The sequence below is a fragment of the Homo sapiens genome, chromosome 9 (genome assembly GCF_000001405.40).
Source record: "Homo sapiens chromosome 9, GRCh38.p14 Primary Assembly".
Classification (NCBI taxonomy): domain Eukaryota; kingdom Metazoa; phylum Chordata; class Mammalia; order Primates; family Hominidae; genus Homo; species Homo sapiens.
In genome coordinates this window covers 121,153,274-121,170,327 of record NC_000009.12, presented here as the reverse complement: position 1 = coordinate 121,170,327, position 17,054 = coordinate 121,153,274, and the positions used below count along the sequence as shown (strand labels likewise).

The 17,054-nt window shown below is 38.6% G+C and overlaps 1 protein-coding gene across 43 annotated transcripts in view; it reads right to left on the bottom strand.

Moving 5' to 3' along the window:
- CNTRL (centriolin) overlaps positions 1-17,054 on the bottom strand; it is a 102,656-nt gene that overhangs the window by 7,283 nt on the left and 78,319 nt on the right. For 33 of the 43 annotated variants that reach the window (XM_047422667.1, XM_047422671.1, XM_047422669.1 and 30 more), the window contains 13 exons: positions 15,415-15,607; positions 12,728-12,858; positions 12,448-12,588; positions 12,219-12,345; positions 11,309-11,473; positions 10,026-10,185; positions 8,357-8,472; positions 8,057-8,274; positions 5,228-5,385; positions 4,148-4,221; positions 2,651-2,839; positions 2,007-2,232; positions 512-717 (listed from right to left, as the gene is read on the bottom strand). In XM_047422667.1, the coding sequence (XP_047278623.1) occupies positions 512-717; positions 2,007-2,232; positions 2,651-2,839; positions 4,148-4,221; positions 5,228-5,385; positions 8,057-8,274; positions 8,357-8,472; positions 10,026-10,185; positions 11,309-11,473; positions 12,219-12,345; positions 12,448-12,588; positions 12,728-12,858; positions 15,415-15,607 (2,104 nt within the window). Of the gene's footprint in view, positions 1-511; positions 718-2,006; positions 2,233-2,650; positions 2,840-4,147; positions 4,222-5,227; positions 5,386-8,056; positions 8,275-8,356; positions 8,473-8,618; positions 8,796-8,822; positions 9,046-10,025; positions 10,186-11,308; positions 11,474-11,721; positions 12,346-12,447; positions 12,589-12,727; positions 12,859-15,414; positions 15,608-17,054 lie in introns of those variants that run through there. The other 10 variants (XM_047422692.1, XM_011518172.4, XM_047422694.1 and 7 more) reach the window with 4 other exon arrangements.

The window sequence follows — 17,054 nt, the reverse complement described above, 5'->3', positions numbered from 1 at the left end:
TACTAAAAATACAAAAATTAGTCGGGCGTGGTGGCGCACACCTGTAGTCCCAGCTACTCAGGAGGCTGAGGCATGAGAATCGCTTGAACCCAGGAAGCAGAGGCTGCAGTGAGCTGAGATTGCGCCACTCAATCTAGCATGGGAGACAAAGCAAGATGCCATCTTAAAAAACAACCGTCTAGAGAAGGCTTCTTCAACACCCCCTCCTCCCTGCCAGTGGAGGTGTAAACTGAGGCTTGCTGGCAGAACATGCTGTCTACTTTGTGCTGATAATGGCTGTTCACACCAACAGTCTCCCCAGCCAGCCAGAGCTCCATTGAGGCTGCACCCGTCCCAGGTAAAACTTACCATCAACTTCAAGGACAAATGATGCATAAATACATCAATAACAACAGCTGGGTTCAGGACTGGGTTGATGGGTAATTTATTTTCTCTGTGTTGAAGTGGTGTTGCAGTTTAAAATTTTAAATTTATCATTTCCTCACAAACTGCCACGGCAGCAGGTACTCACAAGAAGGTTTTTCTCCAGCTGGCTCCGCTGGATCTTAAGTGCTTCCTTCAGGCTGGCCACCTGCTTCTCAGCTTTCTTTCTTTCTGTCAAGAACTGGTTCCGCAGAAGGCTGAAGTCTGCCCTCATAGAATCTGCCTCTTTCTGGAGGGCCAACAGCTCACCTGATTTCTCCACCAATTGCTGCTCCCTTTCTGAAAGCTGCCGTTCTGAAATGAGCATTTTCAGTAGGTTTAGCCAAAGACCCCGAGCCAGCTGTGGGCAGAGCTCCCCTTCCCTTGTGGCAGATGCATAATGGTGATATGCTACCCATGCAGGTGCTTTCCTCCATTACAAAGTCGTACAAGCCTACCCTGACCCACACCAAAGGCCCAGAAAAAACCCAGATAAGGGTGCCTTTTGAAGTAATTGGTTCCTGGAGGGCCTGATCCCAGAGTGACAGATAGCTACTATCTTCTCTTTCAAGTCTTTGAGACCAGTGAGAGGAAACCCAGCACCAATCCTGAAGTGTGTGGAACAGCTGAAATGTTTTTTATAAACATTGATTTTCATAAAGGGAGACACACCAGTACTACTTCCTTCCACAGGAGGCAGTGCAGTGGAAAGTGCACAGGATTTGGAGCTGGCTCCTACACTGGCATGAGCCCCATTTTATAGAAGAGGAAAACATTTCCTGATGTTCAATTGGAATAATGTGTGCAAACGCCTGGTACATAGTGAGTACTCGACAGATAATGCTTACGAAATAAAAGTGACATTTAAAAAATATTTTTCTTATCACCCTAGAGGAGCACCCTGCCCAGATTTTACTTTTCAACAACTCTGGCATGATCAGAACTCGACATATTTTTTTAAGTTTCATTTTCATAATGAAATGATTGGGTCTGGGTATATCAAGAGTTCCCAGGGAAAAAGGAATAACAACCCTTTCAGATCCCCAAGCCCACAACATTTTCCAAGCATTATTAAACCCTGGAGCCTAAGAAAGAGAAAAACCATTTACTGATGTGAGAACAATCATTTACCCTGGATTCCCACGTCAACTTCATTTATATATGGTTCAAGAGAGAACAAACTGACCTAAAAGCAAACACCTGTATTCTGGTACCATTCACTATGCCAAATCTGGACAAAAGAACTGTTAATATGATTTTTTTGACACTTGAGATGAAGTAGATCATTATTCCCAAAGCTCATAGGTAATATACTTTAAGAGTATCTTTTGGCAATTATTCACGTGAATGTTCCACTTTCTTGAGATGGCATTCTCAAAGGAGACAATATGAGCAAGGAAGGACTTGCTGGTCAGTCTCAGGATTGTATCTCCTCTGAACCTGCTTCCTCATCTTTCACAGGGCTATCATACCTCCTGCTTTACTTCTCCTGCCTCCTCTCCTGGGCTCTGGCTGGGGTCCGGATCTCTTTAAATACTTTTGCAAGACAACCAGCAGAGCCAATCCATACCCCATCTCCCAGTGAGAAGTTCCAGAATACATACTAGTTTGGGAGAGTGTCTTCTCCAGGCTCTCACACCACCTCTCCTCTTCCTGCAGAGTCCTAACACGCTCTTCAGCTGCCAGCACCTTTGAGAGCACTTGGTCCAGTTTGCTTTTCTGGTCTGTTAATTCCTTTTCCAGCTGGTGCTGTTGCTCCTTCAGTGTCACTTTACTGGTTTCTAATTTGCTTTCTTCACTTTCTCTCTCTTTCTGGAGTCTCTGAAACATCTTAATAAAGAATAATCTTGATTAGTCATTAAACAACAAATAGTGTCCCAGAGAACCTGCATGGACATGAGACAGATTCCAGGTCAAAAGAAAGTAGAAGACAGCCCACAGGGACAATTCCATTACAGAGGTGATCAAGAGGGCTTGGGAAGCTATCTGGCCAGCATGTGAGGAGGGGATTCAAGCAGCAAATGGCACGTGGCTGTTAAGTATCTTTACAGGACTGATGTTCTATGATCGTTAAAGGTCTGTAAGAGAGTCACACAGTTGGTATAAATGCCACCCATGGCTACACAGGGCAGTTAAGGGACACATAGTCCCATTGGGGATATTTCTCAGCAGCTTTCTGCCAGGGGAAAAATAGGCTCACATGAGCCACAAAATGCTTTTTTTATGTAAAATCATAAATGTGTAGTACCATTTCTTGTTGGACTAGTTTGAGCTTGTTTTCTTCAATCTCATTCTGAAGCACTTGAAGTTGTTGTTGTTTTGTCTCCTCTTCTTTCTGACAGTCTTCAAACCTATTTGCCCATTCACTGATGTCCTTCTGGAGTCGGGTCTGCTCACTGAGCAACACATCCTGATGCTTGGTGGTGTGAAGCAGGTCCTTTAGGTGAAAGAACAAGTGGAAACTACTAATAAAGCCATCTTTACTAGAGGTGGTCAGTGCCAATCCAGTATCTACTAAGTCTGACAGAACGAGAGGCATAAAAGTTTATTTCCTTTATTATCTCAATAAACTTACAGGTACAAGAGAATTTAGATGTCTAATCCAACTTTTTTTTTTTTGACAGTCTTGCTCTGTTGCCAAGGCTGGAGTGCAGTGGCATGATCTCGGCTCACTGCAACCTCTGCCTCCCAGGTTCAAGCAATCCTCCCGTCTCAGCCTCTCGAGTAGCTGGGACTACAGGCACATGCCACCATACCCAGCTAATTTTTTGTCTTTTTCGTAGAGACGGGGTTTCACCATGTTGGCCAGGCTGATCTCGAACTCCTGGGCTCAAGTGATCCACCTGCCTTGGCCTCCCAAAGTGCTGGGATGGCCTGTGTCTAATGTTAACTTTTTTTTTTTTTGAGACAGAGCTTCACTCTTGTTGCCCAGGCTGGAGTACAATGGTGCAATCTCAGCTCACGGCAACCTCCGCCTCTCGGGTTCAAGCGATTCTCCTGCCTCAGCCTCCCGAGTAGCTGGGATTACAGGCATGTGCCACCACGCCTGGCTAATTTTGTATTTTTAGTAGAGATGGGGTTTCTCCATGTTGGTCAGGCTGGTCTTGAACTCCCGACTTCAGGTGATCTGCCCGCCTTGGCCTCCCAAAGTGCTGGGATTACAGGTGTGAGCCACTGCACCTGGCATAACTCTTAATTTACATAATAGAAACTGAAGTCTAGAACTTGTTTGAAGTGCTTTGAATTACAGCACTAGTCTCACAGGACAACACTGAATTACCTTTAAGAAAATCATTAGAAGTATGAGGGTCAAAAATCTGCTATATTCAATATCTGACAAGATAGAGGCCCAGATTTGGCGGGTACTCTATGGCTCAAGGAGTAATCAAATCTAAGCCCAGCCTTTAGAGGCCTCATCTGTGTCATGGATGAGAGATGGCCCATCTGGTCCCTGAAACCCCAAGAAGGGCTGCTGAGAGACTGCTGCTGGGCTCTGGTCTAGCCACCACCCTACTTACTAGCTTTGAGTAAAACTGTTTGTATCAAGAGTTCTAAGGCTAAAATAAATTAGCAAACCACTGCTCTCCATCAAAACTTTTATTTATGTGATGGTTATGTTACATAAATGGCCCTACGGTATCTGCTGTTGTGAAGAGGAACCAGCCTACTTGATTTCTTTGTTATTTAAACCAATGGTCTGCATACCCTCAGTATACTACTAGAATATTACATTTGTTAACCTTACCTGTTTTGCTAGGTTCAAATGGTCTTGGACATTAGCTAGTTCCTCCTGCAGTGAGTTTACTGCTTCTCGTTTTTCTAAAGAAATGACATTCTCATGAAATAAGAAATACATACGTATTTACTGTACAGATTCCCATTAGCATTCCCAAAAAGTAGAGAAGTTGTTTTAAGCTTACTCCTGTTACATGTATGACTATGCCACACTATCTCATTAAAGGCCAAAAGAGAGTTACATGCACAATCCAGATTTGGGCTTGGAGCTCAGGTTTTTAAAGATTTTCATGTTCAAAATCTCACAACGAAAAAATTACAGATAATACTTAATGTTAGGTGTTTAAAAACAGCTACCTTCTGCATTGCTGGTAGAAATAGAAACTTAACCTTTCAGGAAGGCAATTTGGGAATAAATTTTTTATCTATATTGGCTTTGTCAATTACTAGCTGTGTGACCTCTAGCAAGTCACTTCTCATTTAAGCAGTCACAAGAAAACTAAGCTTCAGTTTCCTTATTTACAAATGAGTAAAATAATTTTTATCTCATAAAAATGTTATGAGGATTAAGTGAGAAAATGAAATACCAAGGATATAAAAAATGTTCAACAAGTATATTATTAGCTAGAATTACTCAGCAATTTCTTCTAAATAAATTATCATATTTATAAACATTTGGTAATTTTAAAATCTTCATTATTTACATCTTTGTTTTTGTTTTTCAAACTAGACACACCCCTAGGAAAAATCTGGAAGGATATTCACCAAACTGTTACTAGGAATCTATGAGGAGTGAGGTCAACAGCAATTTTTATTTCTTTTTGCTGTTTTAAAATTGTTCTCTAAGGAACATGAATTAGGTTTTTTTTTTTAACTGACTTTATTGAGATAAAATTCACATATCATGTCCTATTTAAAGTGTACAATTCAAAGGCTTTTAGTATATTCCAAGTTGTGCAAACATTACCACAATCTAATTTTAGAAAGAAACACCATGCTCATTAGCAGGAATTACTTGTCGTAAGAAAAATCAAAGAATCTAACGAAGGGCAAGGAAATCACACACTTTCACTGTTTTGCTGCCTTATACCTTGGAGCTGCTGTTGCATTGCTGAAATGTCGTTATGCAGTGACAACTTGTCTCTGTTTAGTTGGTCTAGTTCCTGCTGCAGTTTTCTGACATTCAATTCCAACTTTTCTAAGTTTGATTGCTCCATTTTGCTATTTTCTTCTGCTGCTGCTAAAACCCTACCACAGAGAGTAAGTCAGACTGTCAAATATACAAGCACACACAGGAGATGACTGAGGAACAGTGTTATCCTTTCACAACATACAGTTATGGAAAGTATAAATGATTATAAATCTTCACAAAATTTAAGACTCAACTCATTTTCAGAATCTTATTATCAGCTTTCTAAGTGGAGACTTTTTTCAAAAACTGACTCACTAAATTGAAGTTTTATAAAAATCATGGATTAAAAACATGGATAACATTCAGAATTCCAAAAATCTGATAAAAATGGAGCTGTGACAATCGAAAGAGTAGAAAACAATTGTGTGTACAGTAGGATCTGTCCATATAGCAGACATGCATGAGCATGTATTGTAGTACATAAAGGGAGTCATACAGTTTGGACTTGCTTTTGGTCTGGCTTCTTTCACTCAACGTAGTTACTTTGAGATTCATCCATGTTGTGTATATCAATACTTCATTCCCTTCTTATTGCTGAGTAGTATTCTACAGTGTGGATATACCACAATTTGTTTATCTATTTACCAGGTGATAGACAATTTGGGTCATTTCTAGTTTTTGGCTATTACAAATAAGGCTGTCATGAACATTAGCATATATACTGTGTAGAAATATGCTTTCATTTCTCTTGAATAAATATAATACCTAGGAGTGGAATGGCTAGATCTTCCGATTGGCGTATGTTTGATTTTTAAGTAACTGTTAAACTGTCTTCCAAAGTTTAACAGTTACTTAATACCATTTTACATGCCCCTCAATCATATATGAAAGTTCCGGCCAGATGCGGTGGCTCATGCCTGCAATCCCAGCACTTTGGGAGGCCGAGGCAGGTGGATCACGAGGTCAGGGGATGGAGACCATCCTGGCTAACATGGTGAAACCCCGTCTCTACTAAAAATACAAAAAATTAGCCAGGCGTGGTGACGGGTGCCTGTAGTCCCAGCTACTCAAGAGGCTGAGGCAGGAGAATGCCGTGAACCCGGAAGGTGGAGCTTGCAGTGAGCCAAGATAGCGCCACTGCACTCCAGCCTGGGCAACAGAGCGAGGCTCCATCTCAAAAAAAAAAAAAAAAAGTTCCTGGTTAATATTAACATTTGGTATGGCTGTTGTTCTAATAGGTGTGTAGTGATATCTCACTGTGGTTTTAATTTGCATTTCTCTAATGATTAATTATCCTGCGTATCTTTTCATGTGTTTATTTGCCATCCATTTATCTTCTGTAATGAAATGTCTATTCAAATCTTTTGCCCATTTAAATAACTGGGTTGTCTTCTTATTGAGTTTTGAGAGTTCTTTATACATGTATTCTGAATACAAGTCCTTTATCAGATACATGGGTTGCAAATATTTTTTTCCCAACCTGTGACATATCTTTTCATTACCTTGTGTCTTTTGAGGAGATGTTTTAAATTTTGAAGTCTAATTTTATCAATTTATTATTTTATGGATCATGCTTTTGGTGTCATACCAAGAATTTTTGCCCACTCCAAGGTCACAAAAGTTTTCTGCTATGTTTTATGTTTTCTTCTAGAAGTTTTATATTTAGGTTTTACATATATGTTTATGGTCCTATATATAAATATAAAATAAATATGTATATATATATATATTTTTTTTTTGAAACAGGGTCTCACTCTGTCACCCTGGCTGGAGTGCAATGGTATCATTATGGCTCACTGCAGCCTCAATCTCCCTGGCTCAAACAATTCTCCCACCTCAGCTTCCCAACCTGGCTATTTTTATTATTATTTTTTTTTTTTTGGCAGAGACAGGGTCTTTCTATGTTGCCTAGGCTGGTCTCAAACTCCTGGGCTCAAGTGATCCTCCTGCCTCGGCCTCCCAAAATGCTGGGATTACTGGCATGAGCCAACGTGCCTGGCCTCATTTTAAATTCATATTTATATATTATACATAGTGAGGTATGAATTGAGATTCTTTTTTTGGTTTTGTATATCCAATTGTTTCAGCCAACATTTTTCTAAAAGACCATCTTTTCTCTACTGAAAAAGATGCCTTTTTATCTTTATCAAAATCAGTTGTTCACATATATGTCAGTTTATTTCTAGACTTTCTATTCTGTTCCATTGATCTATGTGTTTATCTTTACACTAATACCACAGTGTTTTGATTACTACAGGTTTATAAAAGTGTTACAAATCAGGTAGTGTTAGTCCTAAATTTTTGTTCTACTTTCTAAAAGTTGTTTTGGTGTCATACCTAAAAAATTGTATAAATTCTATTCTAGGTCTTAGAATAATTCGATTCTAGGTTCATATAATTTTAGAACCAGCTTGTCAATTTCCACAAGGAAAGGCTATTGAGATTTTAATTGTTAACTGTTTTGAATCTAGAGATCAATTTGAACAGAACTAAATCTTTAACAATGTTGTCTTTTGGTCCATGAACAAGATATATATCTCCATTTATTTCCAGCATGTATCATTTTACTTAAAAAAAACAAAATAGATTTTAAAAAAATGCTTTTGAGCAAAAAAAAAAAAAGCTAGAAGGAAATTCTCCAAAAAAATGCAACTGGCAAAATGTATTATGATACCAAGTTTGTGGTGTATTTTATCTTTTTCTCTATTTTCCAAATTTTTTATAGTGTGTTTATAATGCTTTGGCCTGAAGAAGTGATCCTGCAAGCTTATTTGTTCTTGCTCTCACCTTTTGGTTTGTGCCAACTTTTTTTCCCAAATGTCACATTTCTCTTGGAGATCTTCCTTTTCTTTGCTCAAACACTCAACACACGATTGTAAAGCTCGGGACTCAGCAGTCATTCGTTCTATTTCTCGTTTATCCCTCTCAAGGAGCTGCTTCTGCCACTCTATTTCCCCTTTCTGCTGCTGGGATATCTGCTGCAAATTCTCTAACTCCAGTTTCTCCTAAATCAGATAAAAGAGGACTCAAACATCTTAAATGAGAAAGACTTCAGTTTCTTAAGGGTACACTGGCTTTGTTCATTACCTCTAGCACTGCCACCTGAGTCTTCTCTAATTCAGATACCCTTTGGTCATGTTGTAGCTTCAAACCTTGTAGCTCATGGTTTTCAAGTTGCAACATGTCCAGAATATTCTTTAGTTCTAAGGGATAGAAACAAAGCATGGTCCATGATATTAAATGAACTTGGAAAACATTTACAAAATGAAACAGAAAACAATGCTATTGACTAATACAAGACAATTTTAAAAATTTTGTTGAGCTGAATTAATGGTGCTAATTTTATTTTTAATAAAAAATTCTCTAAAAGTATCGCTAAATACTATTTAATTTGTTAAAAACATTTTAACAAGCCAGGTGCAGCAGCACGCACCTGTAATCCCAGCCATTTGGCAGGCTGAGGTGTAAGGACTGCTTGAGCCCAGGGGTTTGAGACTAGCCTGGTTGACAGAGCAAGATCCCATCTCTATATAAATAAATAAACAGACAAACATTTTAACAAAAACATTTAATTAACAAAGATCTGGTTCCAAAGCATTTGCTTCTACATAAAAGAATCAACTAAAAGCATTTTATATAAAATTGATCAAAATAAATTAAAAATACTTTGAAATACAGACTGAGATTTATATAACAATTTTTTGGCCTTTGAAATACAGATATTTAAATATTAACTTTTTTTCTGATCATAGAGATACTTGCTTACTGTAGAAAAGCTGGAAAATACAAAAAAAAAGCATAAGAGAAAAAAATGAAAACCCACCATTATTTCACCACCCCAAATCACTTTTACAATAGCATTTTGATGTATTTCCTTCTAAGAATGCATGTGTGTGCGCGTGAGCACGCGCGCACACACACACACTCTCACACATTTTAAAATAAACTGGGACTATACTCCATATTCATTTTTTACCTACTTTTTTTCATTCTTCTCATGGTCATGTTTGCATGTCATTAAAGGTTAAAAATATGGCTTTTAAATTGGTCATCTGTTTCCAATTTTTTGGGGGGTGTGGTGGAACAGGGTCTTCCTCTGTTTCCCAGGCTGAAGCATAGTGGCATAATCATAGCTCACTGCAGCCTTGATCTCCTGAGCTCAAGGGATCCTCCCTGCTTGGCCTTCTGAATAGCTGGGACTATAGGTGCACATCAATGTGCATCGCTAATTTTTGAATATTTTTGTAGAGATGGGGTCTCATACATTGCCCAGGTAGTTTTGAACTCCTGGGCTCAAGCAATCCTCTTGCCTCAGCCTCCCAAAGAGCTGGGATTATAGGCATGAACCACCACACCCAGCCTGTTTCCAAATTTTGTCATTATAAATATTGCTGCGATGTACATACTTGCCCTTTCTGGAGGAGTAGAAATGGGCTGACTAGTTCAACAGGTGTGAATTTTAAGAGCCTTGAAACACTGGGAGATTGTTCCAGTTTATACCTCAATTGATAGACTGTGAGTGCTCTTCTTTCAGCACACTCTGATCAGCAATGAGCATGATTATTTTGCTTTTAAATAAAGTTTATCAATTAAAATGGCAGAAAATATCATATTCCTTTTATAACCTGCTTGCTTTGCTTATTAGCAGTAAGGTTAAACTTTAAAGTTTTTTTGGCCATTTGTTATTTTTTCTGTGACTTGTAATACAGACATTTCCAACCTCAAACTTTGTATGATTGTTTTCCTTTAAACTTACCGGTTTTATGTTTAGACATCTGCCTTAAAACAACCTGAAGATTTTCTTCCTCTTTTTCAATTTCCTGCTTTATAAGTGTAAGTTGAGTTTTTCTTTCACTAATCTGAACATTTAGTTCTCCTTTCTGAAAACTCAGTTCTTCCAGAAGAGATTTTACTTCCTGTGTTTGAAAAAAAAAAAGTTATTCCCTCCTGTGACTGTAAATGAAAATTACTTCAAAATAAGTTCTGTTATTTATTGTTTTATATCATAGAAATTCTAATTTGGAAACAAGCTCATTTTTGCCTTTTATGTCAAGAACAGCATTATATTTTACAGAAACCTATTTCTATATAATAGAAGAAAGTAACATATTCTCTTCATCTAAATATATTTGCAACATTACTGTAAGCAAGGCAACGTCTATAGAGAGAAAAGCCTGACTGAGACATGGCTCCTGCTCTGGAGGGGCTTAGTACCTTGTTGAGTGGTAAGGCAGGGAAGATAAACATGATCACAAAAGGCTAGGCCTTCATGCCCTAGGAAACATGCAGATAGAGTGTTTCTAAACTCAAAAGAAGGAAACTCCTTCTTCCAGAAGAAAGAAAAAGGTCAGAGAAGTTTTCTTTTTTTTTTTTTTTGAAATTGAGTCTCACTCTGTCACCAGCCAGGGTGCAGTGGCACGATCTCGGCTCACTGCAACCTCCGCCTCCCGGGTTCAAGAGTGCCGTGGTGCAATCTCGGCTCACTGCAACCAACCACCTCCCAATTTCAAGCAATTCTCCTATCTCAGTCTCCCGAGTAGCTAGGATTACAGGCGCATGCCACCATGCCTGGCTAATTTTTGTATTTTTAGTAGAGATGGGGTTTCACCATGTTGGCCAGGATGGTCTCAATCTCTTAACCTCGTGATCTGCCTGCCTTGGCCTCCCAAAGTGCTGGGATTACAGATGTGAGCCACTGTACCCGGCCAGAAGTTTTCTAAGAGGAGGTGGCATGAAGCTGCGCCATGAGAAACAGGTGGGATCTGGCTAGTGATAGGGGAGAAAGGGAATTCCTGGAGAAGAAATGGTATGAGAAAGGTACAGGGGCAGGAGAACTTTGAGCATATCCAGAAAACAACAGAGGGGGAACTACACATGACAGCCACTGCATGGATATGTAACAACACCAAACTGATTTTACAGAGGAGGCAAGATTTCAGGAATTTATATTTTCATTTGGGGAGAAGCAATGAAAATACATCAAAGTAAACCTATAGCACTGTCCTACGACTCTTCAGAAAACCCTAATAAAAAACACACCCTAATGTGATTGCACTTCTCAGTTACTTCAGTCTCTCCCAGTCTCAGAGCTTCCTGGAGGTCAGCTTTTGCCTGGACCATGCTTCCTTGGAGTAGATGCAGCTCCTCCTTTTTATGCCCTAACTGCCTGTCCAAGACAGCCATCTCCTGCTGCTGACTTGTCACCTGTATTAAAGAAAAGGGAAGAGTAAGTTTGACAAAGGCCATACAGCCCTCAGTGCTAACCTGGAGATAATTTAGTTGTGAGGTAAAATCAGGAGCTAATATCCTAGCCCCCAAGAGTCAGAAAAGCCAGGCAAGGAGTGCAAGGGTGAAATGCCTAATGAAAACCTTGAGCTCACATACTTAAAACCACTCAAATCACAGTGATCACAGTAAGAACAACAATATGATAATCATGATCATCCCTCAGGTTACAGTTTTCCAAGAACTTTTATTTTTATACCCTAATTCCATTTTGACATCCTTGGTGATGGAAGTTAGTCAGAGATTTTTAAAATGTATTCATTTTTAAAATTAAAAATTCGTTGCAATTTTAAAGACAATACGTATTTGTTTACAAAAAAAAAAGAAGACCATGCAGATATGCAAAAGGAAGACAACAGAAAATACTCAAAATCCCCCCTTATCAGATGACCACTTTTGTACTTTGGTATTGACTAAAAATACAACCATAAGTGTTGATAAAGGCATTTAACAGAAATGATCTCATAGAGTATACCATGTTTTGAGACCCACTTTTTTTATTCAGAAGTATTGTATTGAGTTGGGATTCAAATTTAGTTCAGACTTCATGCTTAACAACTATAATACATAGCCGCATTTATTCTTTTCTACAATTAAACATGTATTACTTTTATAATCATAAAGTGCTGTGTCAGTTGTTTTTTCAAGGTGTCTATTGCCATACCTGGCTTTTCAGCTTTTCCAGCTCGGCTCTTTTGGCCTGAAGAAGCACCTCAGATTCTTTAAGGACCTGCAGGTGGTGATCCTCATTGCGTTCTGCCATCTCTATGTCTTTCTGTAGTTTCTGAAGCCTACAAAGCACCAGCAACACTAGAGCAGATCCTAAGGGACTCGGAACCCCAGAGCTGTCTTCCAGCACAAACCCCTTGTAGCCCTACAGAGGCCTTACTTACTCTTCTGTCAGTTTTTCCTTCTTCTTGCTTAAACATTGGAAGTCTGAGTCTTTTGCTGCTACAATTTTGTTTATTTCTTTCAAGATTTCTTCTTGCTTGATTTTGTGCTGCTCCAAATCCTTTGCATCAGCCTGGAGCGATCTAAAGCACATTGCTTTATTCCCCCCAGGTCCTGTAGACTTACCATGCATTATTTATCATAAACCAATTATTATCCCCTTAGAAGCAAACTTTTCATTCATCTCAATGTATACATCAACGGCTTAGGGAATCCACCTACCTTAGCTGCTGATCAGCTTTGACGAGGTTAACAGCAGTTTCCTGAGCTCTCCTTTCTAATTCCTCAGCATCTGACTCAGTTTGCAATAAACTTCTCTTGGCATCAGTGAACTTTTCAACAGCATTTTTTGTCTAGAAAAGAAACTGTCATTAAAAGCCATTCAGTTACAATACTCACTCACAGCTACTGGCCATGTAAACCAGTACAGCTCTTTTGGAAAACAAGATGGTACAGAAAGACATAAAAATGTCCATTCACTGTAACTCTAATTCTCGGTAAATAATTCAGAAGCAAAGAACTACTATATAAAAATGCTCAATGTATAATAATATAAGACCTGACAAATAATAATAGGCTAAGTGATAATGCATTAACAAAGTGGAATACTGTGTAGCCTTTCAAATGATCAGATGACAATGTAGCAACACGGAAGAATGTTAATATTATGTTGGCTGAGAAAAATAAATTTAAAATGGTATAAGCACTGTGAGAGCAACTGTGTAAAACTACATGTGTCAACAAAGACAGAAAGACTATATAAAAATAAATACAGTCATTTGAAAGTAGTGGAACTAAAGATGCTTTTTATTTCAAAATAATCTGTAATACTATTATATCATTTTAAATATTAAAACTATCTACCCAACTAAGTGGGAAGGAAGTGATTTTACCAAGATTTCCTCCACACAGAAATTCTTGCTGCACTCTATAGTTATTATCAAGCGAAGTAAAAATGCATTGATCTGGTGATAATGTAATTACGGCTGACAAACACAAACATTAAATACTTTGCAAATGTTTAAAATCTTCCTATATAAGATTTGGTAAAAACACATTTGTTTTAATCAACTTGGTTTCTTTTTCTGCCTAACATAAGATGCTTAAAACAATGACATCAAAAGTTCCAAAAATAAATAGAGTGTGGTTTGCACTTGGTTGAGCAGTGACTCACCTTCAGCCAAAAAAAACTGAAGTCTGCCATTGTACTAAAGCCAGAGGAGTCCGTATGTTAAATTTGCCTATTAAATATCTGTGTGGATGCAAAAGGGTTGGCAAGCTCCCAGAGAGCTACATATTTTACCATACGTCTTTCCATTTCAGATAGCTTGTTTCTGTCAGTTTCACCAGCAAAGCACTGGATAAAACTGGCTATGCATTCCAGAAAAGCCACCAAATAGTTTTTTGTCTCCTTCTATGTCAGGTTTTAACATGTCTGGCACACTCCTTCCAAAACACCACTACTTTCTCTCTCCTCCTCCTTCTTACCAAGCTGCCTCCCTGAGTCATTTTGGGAGGATGAAGGTGAAAGAACTTACCAGCCTTGGTTGACTTACTACCTCTGCCTACTACCACTGCCATCAATTTTCTTTTGATGATTTTATATATCTATACCTATATATATTAATATATAACCAAAATATACCAAAATTTATAATCAAAATATACCAGTGATATTTTGATATATTATCAAAATATCTTATTATATATTATTATACCAGTGATTTTTTTTCCTCTAGTTCTGCTCACATCTATTTTCTCTCACAGTAATCCAACATATGACAACAGAAGGAACAGCTCATCTGAAAAGGACTTTTTCCATTCTTAATTACTCACAGAATTTCTTTAATAAATAATTTAGTTCCTAGGTAATAGACTGCTTTTAATTTAAATAGATTCATGTTGAAATAGCAAAATACAAATAATAGTTCCTGAGGTGTTTCATGTGGGTAAGGAACTCTTTTCATCCTGGAATTCTCATCTAACTAAAAGAGCCCTTGGCTATGTGACTCTGGGCCAGTAATGAGCCTCTCTGAGCTACATCAGTAAACCAAGCTAACATCATCTACACAGGGCTGCCAGGAAGGTTAAATGAAACATTTACAAAATGGCCATGTGTAGCCACAGCAGTGGCTCAATAAAAGGTAACTCCTTTTTCTCCCCAACTTCCCTCTGTGTTGTGGTCTAAAGAATATTATCGGGCCAGGCGCAGTGGCTCACGCCTGTAATCCCAGAACTTTGGGAAGCTGAGGCAGGATCACAAGGTTAGGAGTTCAAAACCAGCCTGACCAACATGGTGAAACCCCGTCTCTACTCAGGAGGCTGAGGCAGGAGAATCGCTTGAACCCGGGAGGCGGAGGTTGCAGTGAGCCAAGATTGCGCCACTCCACTCCAGCCTGGGTGACAGAGCGAGACACCATCTCAAACAAAAAAAAGAAAATTATCTCTGACCAAAAAATATTTTGTATCATTATCAACCTGAAGACCAAAGTAATACTTGTGAGGTCCATTGTAGCTTAATAAGAATATAAAGATTGACCTATTTAAAAAAACACAGGTAGCAGAACCCAAATAATTAAATATAAAAGATACACACAGGATAAGGACGTGGGGTGTGCTAGGAACTAAGTAACTTCAGGAATTTTAAATACGCTGTTTTATTTAATCCATGCCGAAAAGCCTACGTATTCTTAGCCTGAATTTATAGATAAGAAAAGCAAAGCCAGGGGACTTATATGACTTGCATAAATTCTCACATCTTCTTAACTAGCAGAGTCCAGCCTGGAACCTGGCTGTCTGACTTGGACAACTGTCCTCTTATCACACACATTCTCTTTCTAATCCTTCAGGTGGACAGTAAGCTGACTCACCCACACTGAGCTCACACCCCAAACCACAAGAAGACAAACCTTTTCTTTAGTGCATGAAAGTTCACTCTCAGCCTCTGCCAGGAGTCGGTCAGCTTCCCTGAGCTCTGAGCGACGTTTCAGAAGAGTCTTCTCAATGCACTCAATTTCATCTACAATATCTTCATGATGTTTGAGTGATTTTTCTATTTCTAGTTCAGTCATAAGACTCTCAACATTTCCATCAATGAAGTCCCTAAAAAATAATATATACACCCATTAAAAAATGTTAAATGTAGACAATACAGATACTTGTAGCCTAACTACTAAAAAGATCTACAATGATTTTCTAATTTTATATGAGAATAGGTAAGAAAGACTGCTACATTTGATTTTGTTCAAGGTCTAGGTTTACCATCTTATTAAACATGGAATTCCTATTGGCAATAAATGCATAATATGTAAAATGCATGACATGGAATTGTTTGCCCTTTTAAATATAACAACAAAGATTATTGTGTTGTCAGCACTTGACCAAGAAAATGTTGATACTTCTATTCTTTTGAGGTATAAAAATAAAGCAAACCACTACCACAATATTCATCCATTCCCTCAAAACTATCCTTCAAGGGCAGTTCATAGGCTGCCCTTGAAGACTACCTGATTTTGTGATTTATTCCATTCGGCTGAAGTAAAACTCTGGTGACAACATTTGACACATCAAAAACTGTGACACACAATTCAATATCTTAAGGCTAACATGATGAAATTATTTGAAAATTAGATTAGCTATGTATGACTGCATGACAGAAAAATATGAAAATAAATTCAACATTTAACAGATTATCTTTAAATGAAGGCATACATATGATTTTTACTTTCTTCTTGGGACATTTTTGTGTTATCCAAACTTCCTAGAATAGTATTTATTACACTTTTATAACTATGAAAAGAAGTGGCAATCCTACCACCCTATCATCTCCCTCCAAAATACCTCAAAGTAAAAAAATTCCATTCCCCAATGTGTATACCCACAAAAATAACAGACATAACCATCTGCCTAACCTTCAAACATCTAGCCCCTATCTTTTAGGTGTGGCCCTTGCTTTCACTTGCCAGGACTATTAGTCAGATGTCTGCTGCTAGATGGCAGTGACCACGTCTTACTTACTTGTGTCCTCTGCAGGCCTCCCTACCACCCTGGGGTCTGGGCCAGTCTGGGTTAAATGACAAAAACTGGGGAACTGTCATAATTCATGGACTACTGCAAAAGATAGGCTTTTGCATAATTAACCCAATCAACAGATGCTGCATTCACTAAGTGACCCTATGACAGGTGCTGGGACACAGAGATGGAGGTCCAGCTACTGCCTTCAAGGAGCTCCTGGGCTCCCCAGAACATTGTGTGAACAGTGCTATGACCAAGGTTGCTAACCTTGAATTGTGGGCACCTGAGAAGAAATAGGCTTTTAATGAGAAAAAAAAGAGAGGGGATCTCTGACCTTTATTTTGAAGACAAGTTGGAGTTAGGTAAGGGGGTCAGCAGGGAGAAGACAGTACATGCAAAGGTGTAGAGGCAGGAGAAAACGTGGTGTTTGAGGAAACCACAGGAAAGTAGTGAGCCAGACCAAATACTGTGATAAAAGAAAAAGACGGGTGGATTTCAGATGGAGAAGGGTCGTGTATATTCTGATGGGACTGAG